This window comes from Homo sapiens, chromosome 1 (assembly GCF_000001405.40).
Source record: "Homo sapiens chromosome 1, GRCh38.p14 Primary Assembly".
NCBI classification, from domain to species: Eukaryota; Metazoa; Chordata; class Mammalia; order Primates; family Hominidae; genus Homo; species Homo sapiens.
Window position 1 is genome coordinate 233,077,443 of NC_000001.11, and position 17,129 is coordinate 233,094,571.

At 42.3% G+C, this 17,129-nt stretch overlaps 1 protein-coding gene across 8 annotated transcripts in view, besides 2 other annotated features; it reads right to left on the minus strand.

Moving 5' to 3' along the window:
• The window catches only part of PCNX2 (pecanex 2), a 343,895-nt gene that overhangs the window by 94,008 nt on the left and 232,758 nt on the right, over nucleotides 1–17,129 (minus strand). For 7 of the 8 annotated variants that reach the window (XM_047430870.1, NM_014801.4, XM_047430871.1 and 4 more), the window contains one exon: nucleotides 12,619–12,748. The exons of the other annotated variant lie outside the window; for it this stretch is intronic. In XM_047430870.1, the coding sequence (XP_047286826.1) occupies nucleotides 12,619–12,748 (130 nt within the window). The remainder of the gene's footprint in view (nucleotides 1–12,618; nucleotides 12,749–17,129) is intronic. 8 annotated transcript variants of the gene reach the window in all.
• Nucleotides 1,969–2,470: an enhancer, noted in NCBI's record as "NANOG-H3K4me1 hESC enhancer chr1:233215157-233215658 (GRCh37/hg19 assembly coordinates)". NCBI's record gives its function as "activates a minimal SCP1, AML or CMV promoter by ChIP-STARR-seq in primed H9 embryonic stem cells {active_cell/tissue: H9 hESC(primed)}" and the evidence as "EXISTENCE:reporter gene assay evidence [ECO:0000049][PMID:30033119]".
• Nucleotides 2,471–2,970: an enhancer, noted in NCBI's record as "NANOG-H3K4me1 hESC enhancer chr1:233215659-233216158 (GRCh37/hg19 assembly coordinates)". NCBI's record gives its function as "activates a minimal SCP1, AML or CMV promoter by ChIP-STARR-seq in primed H9 embryonic stem cells {active_cell/tissue: H9 hESC(primed)}" and the evidence as "EXISTENCE:reporter gene assay evidence [ECO:0000049][PMID:30033119]".

Consider the following 17,129-nt stretch of genomic DNA (forward strand, 5'->3'; position numbering starts at 1 on the left):
CCAGTGGCTCCTGTTTACCAGTGATAACGTTAACTATCAAGTGAGTGCTCTACTATTCTGCACTACTCCTAAAATTAGGCTTTTTGAAACTTTTCCTACCCAAACAATTTTCTTTAACATCTACTAAGATCTCTCTTTCCTTCCTTTCTCCCAAGTCTGTCCTATGCCTCTCTCACAAAGTCTTCCCTGACTACAGGCAAATAAGCTCCAACTACGCAACCTCTAAAGCCAATAATAATCAATTTAGAAAGCACCCTACTAAGATATTACAAAATATAAAAAGAAATATAAATATTAAATTGCCCTTATTTTTACTGGGTAATTTTTTTCTAATTCTCATGTATATAATTATTTTGACTTTACTGGCCACTTTTCATTTAAAAAATCATGAAAGGGAGCATCTATTTAGTTTACAGGGAGAGCCAAACACAGCAATCCACAGGTGAAAGAGCATTATAAGCCCTATGGAGTGGAGATGATGACAGAATGCTTCCAAAGTGACAAGAAAAATTAGAGAATGGTTTTGTATATTCACATTATATATTAATTCCACTCATGAATCAAGAGCACTGTGTACCAAGAAGCAGCAACTCTATGTAAGGCCTGGGCAAGGTCTTTGCTTTCAATAAAGTAGGATTAGAGTCAGTCTTAGAAACATGCTCAGAGTCACAAGATTAAACAAGCACATGGCTATCAGAATCCTACAGAATGAGTCTCACAGAGCCTCAAATGCAAAAGCCTCCCAGTACCTACAGTGGTCTGCTGTTATAACAAAGAATGAGAACACACCGTGGAGTGTCCTGTGACAGTCACTTGGAGTATTGGCCGATCTCAGGGAAGACGTTTTAATTAGAAATGCTCAGGATTCTTGGCCTTGGGGATTAAACCCTCACTGTCCAGATGTTTCAAATCTGCCTAAGAAATCTCCTGCATCATATTTATTTGAGCCACGTAGTAAAACAGTTTAAGACAATGTAAATTTAAAAGCTGCATATGTCCTGCCTTTCTTTGTTTAGAATAAATCAGTTCCATCTCTAACACTTTCCTAAAAGCTGGACAAACTAAGGATCCTCCTCTCACTTGCTATAGTGATTTAGAACAGGGTTCTGCCCTCCTGCTGTACAAGGCTTACACTCCCTGCGACCATCCATCTACCTGAATCACTCACAAAGCCTCGCTCCTGGGTGACCTTGAAGCATCAGCAGCAGCAGACAGCTGGGAAGCAGCTGGCACGTTCAACGCTTCCCTGCAGTCGCATGGTCGGCTACACTATTCTGCACTTTTCAAATACTTTAACTGCTCAGCAAAAACTAACAGGACCCTGAGTAAAATTATGCACAACAGCACAATGCATAATAAGCTCAAAGCAATGCTGTTTGAGAAATTCAACATACTGGACTTCCTCAAAAGCATCAGTTTTCTGGAATATATGTGTATAATAGTTCATTTCCATACCTCACGTGTCAAACCTTACATGCAAGAGTTTCTTCATCCGTCAGCAAAACAGTGGGATGGGGTCAAGTTCATAATTTGGCTTCTCAGAAGTAACAGCATTCAGACACAAATTCTAGGTGAGGAAATCTGAGGCAGAGAAGGGAAGTGGAAGGACCAGCCTAAGTCACAGGGCACCTTGGTGATTGGGCAAGGGGAGCTTAAAGCTCTTTTGTCTGCCACTCAGCCCTGGAGGTACAATAGGGGATGGATGCCAGCACCTTCTCTGGCATTCTAGGCTACTTAGTGACACAGAATTATGGCAATAAAGGTATGCTTTTGCGCCATCACTCTCTAAAACTAAAAGGTGGCCGGGTGTGGTGGCTTACACCTGTAATTCCAGCACTTTGGGAGGCCGAGGCGAGCAGATCACGAGGTCAGGAGTTTGAGACCAGACTGGCCAATGTAGTGAAACCCCCGTCTCTACTAAAAATACAAAACATTAGTAGGGCATGGTGGCAGGCACCTGTAATCCCAACTACTTGGGAGGCTGAGGCGGGAGAATCACTTGAAGCTGGGAGGAGGAGGAGGTTGCAATGAGCCGAGATCATGCCATTACACTCCAGCCTGGGCGACAGTGCAACACTCCGTCTCAAAAAAAAAAAAAAAAAAGTAAAAGGTAAGGGAGAAGGATTCCTTTGATAAAAGCCATTACTTTCTTTTATTAGGAGTCTTTTGATTTCAAGTGACAGAAAACTCAACTCAAAATGGCTTAAGTGAAATAAAGAATTCAGTGGCTCACAAAGCTGAAAGGCCCTTTTAAGCCTCGGTGGACTCAGGGGATAGGGGAGTGTCATCATTCTCTGTGTCCCTCGGCCCAGCCTTCCTTTGTGTTCGCTGTGTCCTCAGGACAGTTCTTGCTTTGTGGTGCTAAAGGACTGCTAACAGCAATAGGCTTGCACCCCACACCACCAAGTCCACTGGGAAGGAAGGAAATTCCCTTCCCTGCTGGTCCCCAAACACTAAAGTCCCGGAACTCACTCTGGCTAGTCAAGAACAATATACCTCTGGGACACCAGGCTTCACACCTTTTCTTTCTCTGGCTTTGGCCCTCTTGACCATAGTCTCACGAACTTGTTTGTTTCCCACTTGCCTGTGCCCTAATGTAAGTCTTCCCAGAGTGAAATGAAATAGGAGGCAGGCACTACCCTGCTGTCTGTTCCCAGGTTTGTCCCATATGTCCCCAGCCAGTTGGGTGAGATTTATTGACTTCAAACTTCGATCTCTTTTCCAGTACCTCAGTCCATCTTGACATTTCTATGTTATCATACATAACTATGATTTTTTGGGGGGGCTGGTTTCTCCTTATTTCTATTTCTTTTGGAAAGTTCAAGAGTTGGTCCATATTCCTACTTGGGCCATACCTGTCAATCCCAGTACCTGCTGTCTCCCCAAACACGGTCCTGTAGTAGCTAAACCATGTTAATGCTGAAACAAGTCATTTTCATCCATACACACACACACACAAACACACACACACACACACACACACACACATGCACGCATCTTGTCTTAGTCACTTTAGGCTGCTCTTTAAAAAATACCATAAACCAGGTGGCTTATAAACAACAGAAATATGTTGCTCCAGTTCTGGAGGCTGGAAGTCCGAGATGAGGGTGTCAGCATGCTCAGGTTCTATTAAGGGCCTCTTCCAGGTTGCAGAATGCCAAACTCTCACTGTATCCTCCCATGGAGGAAAAAGGGGCTAGAGAGCTCTCTGGGGTCCCTTTTATGAGGGCACTAATTCCATGCATAAGAGCTTCACTCTTATGACCTAATCACCTCCTGAAGGCCCCACCTCCTAATACCATCGCACTGTGGGTCAGCATTTCAACCTATGAATCTGGGGGAGAAGGGACCCAAACATTCAGTCCACTGCAATCCTCAAAGTGAATCTCATGCATTTTCATATTTCCCAAAACTTTCATTTGTGTATCCATCTGGACAACTCTGAGTTCTGCCTGGGGAGGAAGATTCCTGAAGACTCCCTGTTAGCTCCCAGTTAAAATAAGAGCATTTGAAAATCCCTTTCCCAGATGTGTGAAGTTATTTAACACCCTAGAAAATCAAGGGCAGGTCATAGCCTCAAATAGGGATTTCTCAAATCACCCATTTAAAAAGCTACCACATCTGGGCCGGGTGTGGTGGCTCATGCCTGTAATTCCAGCACTTTTGGAGGCCGAGGCGGGTGGATCACGAGGTCAGGAGTTCAAGACCAGCCTGGCCAAGATGATGAAACCCCATCTCTATTAAAAATACAAAAATTAGCCAGGCATGATGGCAGGTGCCTGTAATCCCAGCTATTTGGGAGGCTGAGGCAGAGAATTGCTCAAACCTGGGAGGCGGAGGTTGTAGTGAGCCGAGATCACGCCACTGCACTCCAGCCTGGGCTGTAAAGTGAGACTCCATCTCAAAAATAAAAAAATAAAAATAAATAAAAAGTTGCATCTGTATTAATTAGCTCAACCCCCTTTCTGGGCCTGAGACTGTATTCAGAACCTCGGATGGTCACTTGTTGTCCATGAGGATCATCGAGGCTTCATTCCTGTTCTTATGCATCCCTGCTTAGCGTCTGGAGCTGTAAGAACCAGGCCGGGGCCATGGAGAAGCATCAGGAAGCCTCTCTTCAGGAAAAGGAAAAGACAAACATGCAAGCTGATGACTTGCAAAGTGGCCACTCACCACGCTTTCTTGCAGCCTGAAGACAGGGACTCCATTCTTTTGAGCTATAAATGTTTTGTGGTCCAGTGATGAGTATGAAAACTCAAAGCTCAGCCTAATGATTCTAAGGGTGGTCTTGGCAAGCTGCATTGCTTCTGACCTGCAGTGGTTCTGACCTGTCCTACTCTGAGCAAATGCCTCAGGGCTCTGAGCTGCAGCTGCTTTCCTTTCCAGACAGGCCTCTCTGACCTGTCCTACTCTGAGCAAATGCCTCGGGGCTCTGAGCTGCAGCTGCTTTCCTTTCCAGACAGGCCTCTCTGGCCACACAGGGCTCTTGTGATGGTGCCTTCCTTTTAAGGCTCTCATGGGCAAATGCATTAACTGGCATTCTGTGTGTGTTTGTGTGTGTGTGTGTGTGTGTGTGTGTCCTCTGAGAGGCTTCAGGATATAACAGGAAGCATGTTCTGGGCTTGGAATAAGATCAGCCCTGGGTTAATATCGTGGCTCAGCTGCTCACTTGTTCTGTGACCTTGGGCAAGTTCTTTAACTTCCTTGAGTTTCTTTTTTCTGATCTGTCAAATAAGAAAAATGAAAGTCTACTTCCAGAGTGAATGTTAGGACTGGAATGAATATATTAGAGAAGATGAGCAGATGTTCAATAAATACAAGAAGATGAGGATCGCCATTGTTACTGCTACTACTGCTGCTCCACTCCCACTACTGTTATTATTACCATTAAGAATAATAGATCCAGGGCCCAACGTACAACCTAAGTATGGGTCTGAAAGCTCTAATAGACTTCGGATTCCTGATAAAGGAGATTCATGACATTTATCTCAGCAGTAACTAAAACAAGGGCATCGAACAAATAAAAATGTGTTGCGTTCCTTGTCATGGCATATCCAGGCACCTTGCAAACGTATCCAAATAAATTATGGGGTAACTTAACTGCAAGTCAATATATGTAAATCCCTCCCTGGCATAACTTTAAAGGAAGGGCAGCTTTTAATTGCATTGTACTATTAACCCATAAGCCAGAATAAGCGGCCTGCTTTGTACTTAAGAAAAAAAATTGCCTTTTGAGAAGCTCAATGCTTTGCAAAGATCTTACAAGTCACCCTTAAAACAGCTTAGTGGGTAGGAAGCATTCAGCAATATTCATTTGGAAAAAGTTAAAAAATAAACTGTGAAGTTGAGAACTTCTTTCTTTGATTGCCTGATCAAGCCAGGTATTTGTTAATACAAATCATGAATGAAACTCCAGATGGTGACAGGTAATCCCATCTGCTGCCAAACTGAGGGGGCTGGAGGCGTGAAAGATGACATGAATGAAACTGACCTCTATGGGCTGGAATATTGAGTTAAAACCAGTAAGAGGAGAGTTGAGAGCGGAAACGTAAACTTCCTCTTTTCAGTAAACCACACTCACGCATAAGATCAGGATGAAGAAGGGTCAGCTCAGCAAATATTTTGTAAAATAATGAGACATTTTAGATTTTAAGAGGCATGAATGATAGCAGGACACCTGATTTGCAGAATAGGTCCTTCTACTGAGAACCAATTAGATGACCTCTGGAGCAAGGTGAAGGTGGGGAGGGTTAGGGGCAATCCACTGAACATCTAGATGAGGCCGACTAGGATTTCCAAGGTCTAGACCATTTCACACAAGGAACAGTTTGTACCATTTGGCCTGAAAAAGAGGGTGGCAAAGGAAGGAGAGCTGCCTCCAAACTGGTAAAGAGCAGCAGGTGTAGGACTCAGCGTCTTGATGCTGTGTCAGCAGGGGTATCCAGGTGATATCACAAGGAGCCGATTCAACTCAATGAAGAGCTCACAGCTGTAACAGCACTCACAGGGGCTGCCGAGCAAGGCACAAGATCCGCTCCACCAGCAGCGAGAAGAGGCTGGATGGTCCAGAGCACAGAGGGGCTACCGTAATTCCTAAGGGTCCGTGCTATACTTATGTCTATATTACAAACCAACAAGGCGCTGGAAAACAACACAGTGAGATTCACGAGAGCTCACTAAGACTAGTTACAATATTTTTATCATTTATTTTGTTGTTAGATAAACCATAAAACCGTGGGACTTAGAGAGCCTATTATTCCATAAAGGCAGCTGTGATGCTCGAAGAACAGAACTGGAGCTCAGTGACTGGCCCAGGTATCAAAATAAACACGGTGCCTGAAGGGAAAAATAATATTTATAGGGCACCTCACAGCAGGCTGGCTATGGATGTGATGGTACACGATCTATATGATGTGTCATTTCCCCTGTTGATTTGATGGCCTTCTGCGGTTTCAGAAAGGACTTCAGGTAGATTGCAGGGATACATAATATATGTTTAGTTACAACTAGATTAAAAGCTGAATAAGAAAAGATAGAAATTTAGGAAAGGAAAATGAAATGGGGTCAGGAATAAGGATAAGGTATGTTGTACATAGAAATGACTTACACATTTACCACAGCAAACCATGTCTCTTTTGGTGCGTATGACTTCTGAGGAGTGATCATCTCATTTTACAGATGAGTTAACTGAGGCTCACAGACAAAGTAACGTCCCAAACACCTAACCGAGCGTATGTGCTGGGATTTTAATTGTGGTTTGACCAACCACAAAGCACAAAGCCTGTGCTTTCTGATGTTCTACCGCTGCCTCAGTAAGAGATGAGGATTAAGTAGAACCAATTATTTCTTGCTGAGAAAGGCAGGTCCAAGGATACAGATGCAGAGTTGATACTTTTGCAGACCAGTCACACAGAGTGATTCCTGCTAGGTAAAGCCTAGCACAGTACACTCGCATAGATGATGCTTAATACACATTTGCCATAAAGGATAGCACCCAGAACAATGTAACATTTTAAAACCAATCTGGATAGAATTCTAGATATGTAACCATCATGAAAGCTTTATTTCCCTTTCATCTAGCGCTGTAGGTCTAATGTATTTTACATTTTATAGAGGGTTTCTGACATATCAAAACAAAATCTCTGTTAATGGGAGTTTTCATTATTTTAGAAAGCTGAAAATAGTCAACTCCTTTAGAACAAAGATGTTTGCTGAGATAACTGGGCACATGTATCATGTAATTTCTGGCCTAAACATTTGTTTCATGTTAATGACAAAGTTTGGTTATTTAGTGACTGTTTATATACAAAGAGCAGGATGATAAATCATAATATCAGAATGTATTTCTAAAGCTTTCTAAAATGCTCTGACATTACGGGGATGTATAAACACAAAGCACTATTATACACTGCATTTGCTATTGTTGCCTGGAATTAAAATAAAGACACCAGGCAGAGCTCATCAAGACAGATTTTTAAAGACCTTGTTAGTCAAGACCACCTCAGTCTAGCAGTGAGTGTTCTCACCCCAGCAAACGTGAAGCCAGATTAGGATTTCTATTTCCTCTGACATAATACTGTTAGACTTAATTCACTTAAGAAATATTTACAGGCCAGGCGTGGTGGCTCACGCCTGTAATCTCAGCACTTTGGGAGGCTGAGGAGGGCGGATCACAAGATCAGGAATTCAAGACTAGCCTGAACAACATGGTGAAACCCCATCTCTACTAAAAACACAAAAATTATCCAGGTGTGGTGGCGGGCCTCTGTAATCCCAGCTACTCGGGAGGCTGAGGTAGAAGAATCACTTGAACTCGGGGGTGGAGGTTGCAGTGAGCTGAGATTGTGCCACTGCACTCCAGCCTGGGGAACAGAGTGAGACTCCGTCTCAAAAAAAAAAAAAAAAGTACAGAACACCTGCTTTTTGCAGGGCCCCATTAGGCATACAAAAATGAAAACTAAACAAGTTCAGAATTGAAGGTATATATAGACTACACCAACCTTGGGTAGAATTTACTGATGGCCATAGCAGCAAATTTATTTTTCCAAACATGACTGCTACAGTACCTCTCCATCCTACAAACCACCCTTGAATCTTACCATATATCTACCAAGAGGCAGAATATAATTCCCCTTTCTCTGAATCTGGGTGGGTGAGTGACTTACTTGTAGAAAATAGAATGGGAGAGAATCGATGCTGCAGAACTTCTGAGGCTAGGCCAGAAAAATCAATGTAACTTTTATTAATACCTTACTCACTAGAAAACTTTTGCTGAAGCCCTGAGGCCACCATGCTCTCAGGAAGCCAAAATTCTGACTCACCTAGAGATTACACAGAGAGGTTCTGAGGCTACACGAAAAGAGAGAAAGATGTCCAGTTAGTCCCCAGCAGTTCCGATTCCCTATTTCAGTCCCAGTCACCACCTTTATAAGGGTCTCCAAATCACAACCACTCAGCCCAGCCCTTCCCAAATTCCTGACCCATAGAAGCCATGAGATATGATAAATTGTTTCCTGTTGTTTTAAGACAAAAACTAAGGTTTATAGAGATTTGTTATTGAGTAATAGACAACAAGAACATAAAGGCAAACTGTTAGAGGAATTTAGGAAAGGAAAGATAATTTTTAATTGGGGTGATCAGGACAACTTCATGGCAGAGTTGCCATTTAAGTTGGGCTTTGCCAACTAGGTGTGGACAGGAAATGAAGAGGTTGAGGGAGGGAAGGTCATTCTATATGAAGAGTAAGATCCAAGGAGAGGTTCGGAATGGAAATTCACAGTATATGATGTGTGGGAAAGTGTTGTGGGAGATGGGCTAGAAAGTTCGAGAAAGAAGGGTCTATATCTGTGCTTTCCAATATGGTAGCCTCCCATCACAGGTGGCTATTTAAATTTAAGTGGATTAAAAGTAAATGGAATTTAAAATTCAGTTCCAGCCGGGTGCAGTGGCTCACGCCTGTAATCCCAGCACTTTGGGAGGCCAAGGCGAGTGGATCACAAGGTCAGGAGATCGAGACCATCCTGGCTAACACGGTGAAACCCCGTCTCTACTAAAAATACAAAAAAAAAAGAAAAAAAAATTAGTCAGGCGTGGTGGCGGGCACCTATAGTCCCAGCTACTCGGGAGGCTGAGGCAGGAGAATGGCGTGAACCTGGGAGGCGGAGCTTGCAGTGAGTGGAGATCGTGCCACTGCACTCCAGCCTGGGCAATAGAGCAAGACTCCATCTCAAAATAATAATAATAATAATAAAATAAAAATAAAATAAAATTCAGTTCCTCCATCAGACTAGCCCCATTTCAAGTGCTTGGTAGCCCTATGTGGCTGGTACCTGCCATATTGGAGAGCACAGACATAGAACATTTCCATTATCCAGAACTTCCTATTGGACAGTGCTGGTCTACATGGCATTTCTCCGTTTTCCTCAGGCACAATGAGCCACTGCAGGCTTTTGAGGAGAAGAGTGACAAGCTGAGAGCTGTGTTTTAGGACAGCTATCCTAGAGCTATGTGTGGGCAGAGAGTAGCAAGCAGGTTAGTTAGGAGGCTAGGGTAAAAAGGCAGACAGGGGACACATTTGTCATATGCCCTAGTGAGGCACAGAATCAGGGAACAGGAGGTCTGCAGGTTTCAGGACCGGCCAGTTCAGGGAGAAAAGGGACTAGCCGTGATTATCAGGTCACTGGTGATTTATTTATCACTTCCTTGAAGTATTAAAATGGTTTTGTTACACTGCAGCTCTCATTAGAGACCTGCACAAACAAAAGTCAGCTTTAAAAGATCTGCAATAAAAACCAAGGGACTGGAAAGTGAGGGAGCAGAGGTGAAAAGAAAGAGGAAGCCAGGAGAGGGGACTGCTAGGTGGCCTCCAACACACACCCCCAGCCTGGTGGCGGCAGTTCATGGTGGTAAATGTGCTCACTAAAGCTCCAGACGAGAATGTCTTTTCAGGCGGCCCTTTTAAAGTGATGGAACAACTAGTACAAAATTAAACAGGATAAATGACGTTAACTGACTGGTCCTTTGTATCAGACTCAAAAGACGGTAATTAGAACGGCCACATAGAAACTCTGCAGTCAGAACACTAAAACTCATTAATGAGGATTTGAAACTAAAAAAAAGTTTTAAATAGATAGAATGAGCTTTCCAGAGTGTTTGTAAGGACCAGATGAGATTTCCTGTCACTTCCTTTCCTGGTACCCACCACTCTACTGTTGTGATTTCCCTCGACTGATCTTTTCAGCAGATGGGCCAGAGGACGCTGCGTTCTGATGCCTTCACAAAAGGCAACAATAGACCTTCAGCAGACTGGGTTTTGCACCAAGAACTCTCTCCTGCAGCAGAATTGAAAATTTCCTTCCACTTGGCTCCTTTGGAAAGACCTAGGAAAGGGCAGGTTTCCTTGTACATACCCACAGACCCTGAAGCCCTCTTCCAACCCATGAGAAGGGCAGCCAGAGGCAGACACCCCACACACACATACAGGGAACCTAGTGCTAATATCTGTGTTATTTACTGATGAAAAGAATAAATGCGGCAGAATCACTTCTTTGTGGGACTGAATAAACATAAATCTTGCTCTAGAAGTCCGTATGTTTAAGTAACCCACATAAACTGACAATTCAGACCCAAACATCTCACTCAAAGATGGCTGAATTTTGGAAGTGAGGAGACTAAATAACAAAACACCTAACTCCTTTTGCGCAGGTGTTAGTATGCCTCCCTCCAATGTCATCTCTGCAAAAAGATTCCCCTTTCCACTGCGGACACTTAAAATCCTTTCTGACTCAACTGAGAGGTGTTTTACTTCTATTGAATCTTCCCATGCCAGAAAGACGGATTCCCTATCTGAGAATAGGAGGCAAAAAGAAATCTTTTGTACTGAGGACCAAGTTTTAAGTATGTTGTACTTTCCTTTCCTGTTTAGGTGAAAGCATGAGAAAATGCCCCTCCTCTTATTTACAAGTATTTGCACTTTCCAGAAGCATGACTTTCAGAGCTCCAAAAAGGTCCCCCAAATTATTTTCTCCTAAAAAAGCTTAAAGAGAAGCCAACTGTGGTAGTTTTTTTTTACTCTCTGGCTCTGTAAATATGCATGTCTCTTTAGACAAATGCAAATGAGCAGCCTTGTTATGTGTGAATTTCAAGACAACTTTACTTTTATTGCAAAATCTACCTCTCTTAGAAGACAAGAAATCTGCCAGAAACCTGAGGACCTCCTTCAACTCCTCACGGGCCCGAAGTAGGGCTCACTGATTTGGTTAGTTTTCACCAGGGCACCCCTAAATGTGAGATTGTCTGAAGGAGATCCCCCCGAGTCATGGTAAACACCTACTAGCATGGGTCAAGCTGGGACAGGAACCTCCCTGCGGAGCAGTCAGAGAATAATCATCCTAGCTCAGGCCCACGTGGTGCTTACTTTGTGGCAGCCCCTGCTCTCCGTGTTTTATGTATGTTAATTCATTTTCTCCTCACAAGTCTATGAAGTAGGTCTTATGATTTTACTTCCATTTTACAGATGAGGAAAAGGAGGCCTGAAATTATCAGTGTTAAGTGGGAGAGATGAGGTGTGAACTCAGGCAGGCTGTGTTCTAATCCCTAAGCCACACCACCTGTGCCAGAAGGATGCAAATTTTATAAACCATCTCTCGGGAGACACATGAAGCCAAAGGTCTAACTTAATGATGACCTCTGTGAGACATAAAAGACACATTGTAAAATGCTGGCACTCTGCAAAATGTAAACAAATTACGGAAAAAAGGATTAGGGTTTAAAAGTAATAAATAGCACAAGTATGGCTAATAAATTAGGGCAGAGGAGATTGAAATGGAAGACCTGCCCCAACACATGGAGCAATGCAAAGGTCTCTGTCCCAGCTGAAGCCAACACATGGAGCAATGCAAAGGTCTCTGTCCCAGCTGAAGACCTCCAGGTACACATGCTTTCCTTCCCTGCTAGCTATTCTCAAGACCTTCCCCACAAATCATTAAGAGGTCTTTACGGTTATTTGGTGAACCATTACTTCTCTCTTCTCACCTTCCCGTAAGAATAACACTCCTACTTCATCAATCACCAATTGCTTAAGGAAATTTATGACAGGTCCAAATAGTGAAGAAAAGGTGAAGAAATCATCTTCACTTTTATGCCGCAAGTTTTATGGCACTCAGAAAAGTTGGTGGTCTCTTTTCCATAGAGCTGTGATGGCTACCCACTTGTACAGGACTGTATATTTAGAATGCTCACAGAAGGGATGCTACAGACAGGAAAAAAGTATGCCATCCAGGGGCCATCTTGGCATATCAAAGGACATTAACAGTGGCTTGTACCTTCCCCTAGGTCACCTACGAAAATTTGGCAGTGATAACTCACTTTTCCTTCACAACTGGTGAAACCTGGACTAGTATTCGTTGGCTAATTTGAAATCAGTCATGTTCTTTCCAGATCCCTGAGACCCAAGAGCTGAGTCAATGAACTGAGGAGGTCATCAAGAGAGACAGGTTTGGCCTGGCCCCACAGCAGGGGGAAGCCTGGAGCCAGGGACCTCCTAACAGAGGAAGGCAGAGGAGCCTTCTGAAGTGCAAACTGGAGAAAAGCAATTGAGCACTGATTTTAGGATCTTACTTGTAGTTTTTCTCCCAGAATTTCACTGGCCTGACATATGATGTGATGAAAATGACACTCCCAAGAAATGGGCTCAATGGGGTAGAAAAGATTGATGTGGCAATCGTCTGAAAGAAAAGCATGGCAGAATCTGAGAATGTTGAGTTAAGGCAAAAAAAAAAATTATGATTCTTAGATTTTTAAAACATTATTTCAAATTTTGATGAGTTTTCACTAAAGTCATTTTTTCCACCAAAGAAAGAACAAAGAACACACACTTAATCTCTCTATGTATAGATTTATAAATATAAAACTTTCAGTAGTACCCTGCTAGGTCTCATTTCACCACCACGTAAACCAAATGATTCTCATAAAAATCTCAGCAGTCTTAGTCTGATTCATGGCAAAGGTTTAATATCTAAGGATTGAAAAGAACAGTTTCTTTTCACTAAGATTATTAGCTGAACAAAACACACTAGGGTACATTTGCTAAAGTATCAAGTAGCTTTGTAAATAATTAATATTAGATGATACTTTTTGAAAATAAATAATATAACTGTTTGGGAAGGTAGCATCTCTGTTTCTTGAAGAATGTTTTCCCACTGTTTGAAATATCTATCCATCTATCTATCTAGGTAGATGGATACACAGATAAACAGATATCGTATGTTGAACACCACTGGTTCAATTCAAGTCATATCTAGTTTTTAAGCAAAAAACACCACATGCACATGAAGTAAGTGTTTTGTGGGCCAAGTTGCTTCTTTAGGCATTCTTATATGAGTTTCTCACGTACTGGCATGCATCAATTTCACACACCTTGCTTGATCAAAGAGGTAATTGCTCAATATTAAACTTAGCATGTCTGTTGCTTTTGGCTTAAGCCCAATGGATCCTTGGTGATTAGTCGCGAGGAGCCAGAAGCAACAGTTCTCTGAGCAAGCTGGTCCCTTCAGGTCTCACTCCATCACTGAAGACTCCTAGCTGCCAATCACTCACCATCATTGTGGTGCAGAGGTTCTGTGGGGCCTGTGGTTGGAAGCACAAGAGAGAACTGCTGGCCAGAATCCATGGGGGTGGCAGAAGTCAGTGGAGAGCCAGACTGCCCAGGTCGTATAATATCGACATCCTTCCTGGTCCTAGGGTATTAGGACTTGGATCATTCTACTACAGATCTGATCTGACCTCCTACAAGGCTGATCTTCCTGCTGGGAAGTTGTTGACAGCTGTATCTCTCTCACTGCTGAACTAAGGAGGATCTTATTTCTGTAACCCATGTTGCAAAAGTTCTGTCAGAGAGTAAAAAAGAAATGCTTGGCACAGACAGGAAGACTCTGCATTTCATTATCAAGAATATAGAAGTAACTCGGACTTCTAAGTAGTTTAACATAACGTTAAACAAATTATGTGATAAAGGGGTGGGGGTGGAAGTGGGGATTCCCTAACAGCCCTATTTATATGTAAGATATAAAAAAGGGAGTGAGTCTTGTGCTGTCCACACTTTCACATACATTTTCGTAGATTTAAAATCAGATTAAAAAAACGTAGCCAGGCATTGTGGTGCACACCTGCAGTCCCAGCCACACAGGAGGCGGAGGTGAGAGGATCTCTTGAGCCCAGGAGTTTGAGGCTGCAGTGAGCTAGAATTGCACTGTTGCACTCCAGCCTGGGCAACAGAGTGAGACCCTCCCTCAAAAAAAAAAAAAAAAATCATGATTTTTTTTTTTTCAAGAGTGACTTTTTTTTTTAAAACTTTCTATTTACTCCCAAGCATTTTCAAGAGTAAAATGTCACATCCTCCATTAATAATCCATTCCAATGTTGAATTGTTTAGGTATCAAAAAGATCTCTATTGTGCTGCAATTTAAATCCAATTCTTTTTATTTTGACCTAGGTTCAAATAGAGAACTACAGAACAATATGCTACTGTGATATCTATTATCACCCATCAGTTTCCTCTTCTGAAAGCTGAAAATACCTAAATACTTCTGCCACAAAACACAACAAATTAGCTATTATGCTCCTCATCATTGGAAGAAAAGGGAATTGCATGCAAGATATCATTGAGTGAAGGTATTGAAAAAAATATTAGAAAGCAGAGTCAGGTCAGAGGTGGAGTTTTCTGAGGGGCTGTGTTGAGAAGAATGGAAGAGGGAGAAGTCCCCACATCAGGGGACAGAGGGTGTGATGGGGCTTGCAGAGGAACCAGGACAAAACCAAGTGGAGCCAGGGCTGGGCAGATGTGCTAATATGTGATCATCTGGCTAAGTCTGTCTAATTTTTAGAAGACAGTAGTCTTGCATGGTCTCTACACATATTAAAAGGGGGGCTGATGTGGCTCTTGTTTTTGATTCTAAAATTTCCCCAGAGATTACACTGTACATTTTTTAAATGCCAGAAACAATTATCCAAAATTTAAGAAGTGAGGAAACTGTGCTAGTCTAAAAATAAAGTTCAATGTGGTAGGAAAGGAAATGACGTTTAACAGGTTAGAGGGAGGGTGGCAGTGAATAGAGAGGATCTTTTTTGGGGGGAAGATCAGTAAAGAATTATAGCACACTCTGGGCAAATATGAAAGTCTGTCACTACTACTGGCAAGGCAGTACCAAGAAAGAAGAGCTACTAAGAGGAGCAGGCACATAAAGCCCTCTTTATTTCTTTCTAAGAGAAATAGCTGAGAGATTAACCTGAGGGGTAGATGCTCACTCCTTTAAAAGCACACTTAAAATGAAAACATCAATTATTTGTTTTGTTTGTTTTTTGTTTTTGTTTTTTTTGAAATGAAGTCTCGCTCTGTCACCCAGGCTAGAGTGCGGTGGCACCATCTCAGCTCACTGCAACCTCCGCCTCCCAGGTTCAAGCGATTCTCTTGCCTCAGCCTCCCCAGTAGCTGGGTACACAGGCGCCCACTACCATGCCCGGCTAATTTTTTTGTATTTTTAGTAGAGACGGGGTTTCACCGTGTTAGCCAGGATGGTCTCAATCTCCTGACCTCATGATCTGCCCTCCTTGGCCTCCCAAAGTGCTGGGATTACAGGCGTGAGCCACTGTGCCCAGCCAGAAAACATCAATTATTAACAGATTTTTAAAAATCATTAGAAGCGCAGAAGGATGCACCAAGTAGAAAGCAGCCCTCCCAATCTCCGGGTTTACTATAGAGAATCTGGCTAAGTATTTCTAATTATTAGAAGACAATGGTCTTGCATGGTCTCTACACATATTAAAAGGGTGAATATTCTCATCTTTCCCTGGAGGTTACAAGCTCAGAAGCTAACAGAGGCTATGGAGGGAGAAAACATGCTAGTACTGGAAAAAGCAATTTACCAAACAGTGCCCTGCTGGCCTGAAAGCTAATTCAATTCCAAAACAGAGCAAATTAGTCCCTTTTCAATGCTGAGATGGAGCCCACAGCTTCTTAATAGAGTGATAAAATAATTAACATTTCACAATAAGCCAAGATCCAGGGCTGACACTTAATAACTTAATAGCTTTGTCTGGGTGGCATGTATATCTAGTTTTTCAACTATTGATCTCATTATATTCTGAACAGCATGATGTTGGACTCCAAGGAACAAATATCTACCTTTACAACTGATGAAGGATGAGGGGGCCGTCCATGGGTACGGGGGAGAGGGTAAAGATCCTGTCAGTGGCCAGCCTCCAGCCTCCAGGGAGGTCAATTTGAAGGCTCTGTATCTTAGCAGAAGGGGTGGAAGTGGGTGTCACTAACAGGGCCAGGCTTAGGAACAAAACAAGGGGATCCACTGAGTGCTGTAAAATGGAACCACCAAATGCCCAATAAAATCTGCATCTCGAATGTTTCCATGTTGTAAGACAATTAGTCTGTATATCATGAAAGTATGTAAATTTAATGCTCACTGTGCACAAGCTGAGATAAATCCTAACGCTGTCTTTATTCTTATAGGACTTATTAAGTGCCAAATACCATGTGCTCATGTGTGAACCCTCAACACGAATATAGGGCAAGTATTTGAAAATTATGGTTCCCACAACAGTCTTAATTCAGTCGTGGAACTCCAAGGAATAATCAGTAATATTGAATTCACCTAACAAGGCATAAACACCAACAAGAAATGCTACAGACAGATGCAAGTCCAAAGTTATGACATCAGGAATTATAACCTCAAGTTTTAAATTCTTGGTGTAACTCCTCAACAACAAATTTGCATTAATCTAATCATTTTCATTTAATAAACATGCTTTAAATTCTAAAGAGGAAACTTTAGAAATACGTCAGAAAGAGATTAAAAATCAACTCAATATTTCACCTGTTTTTGTTTTAAAGGACTCTGGAAAACTGAAATTACTGGCTTTATAGAAAATGATTGCAGCTAAAGGGAAAGGGTGGTGCACAAGCTCAGGCTTTGCAAACATGTATATAATTTTCCTTAGCTTGTTCTGCCAAATGACCTTGAAACACTTTAGAAATATCAATGCACATCTAAGAATAGCAACATAGAACAATGTGTATTGTGAGATCCACTCTTCGTATGCTTAACATTTTTTTTAAA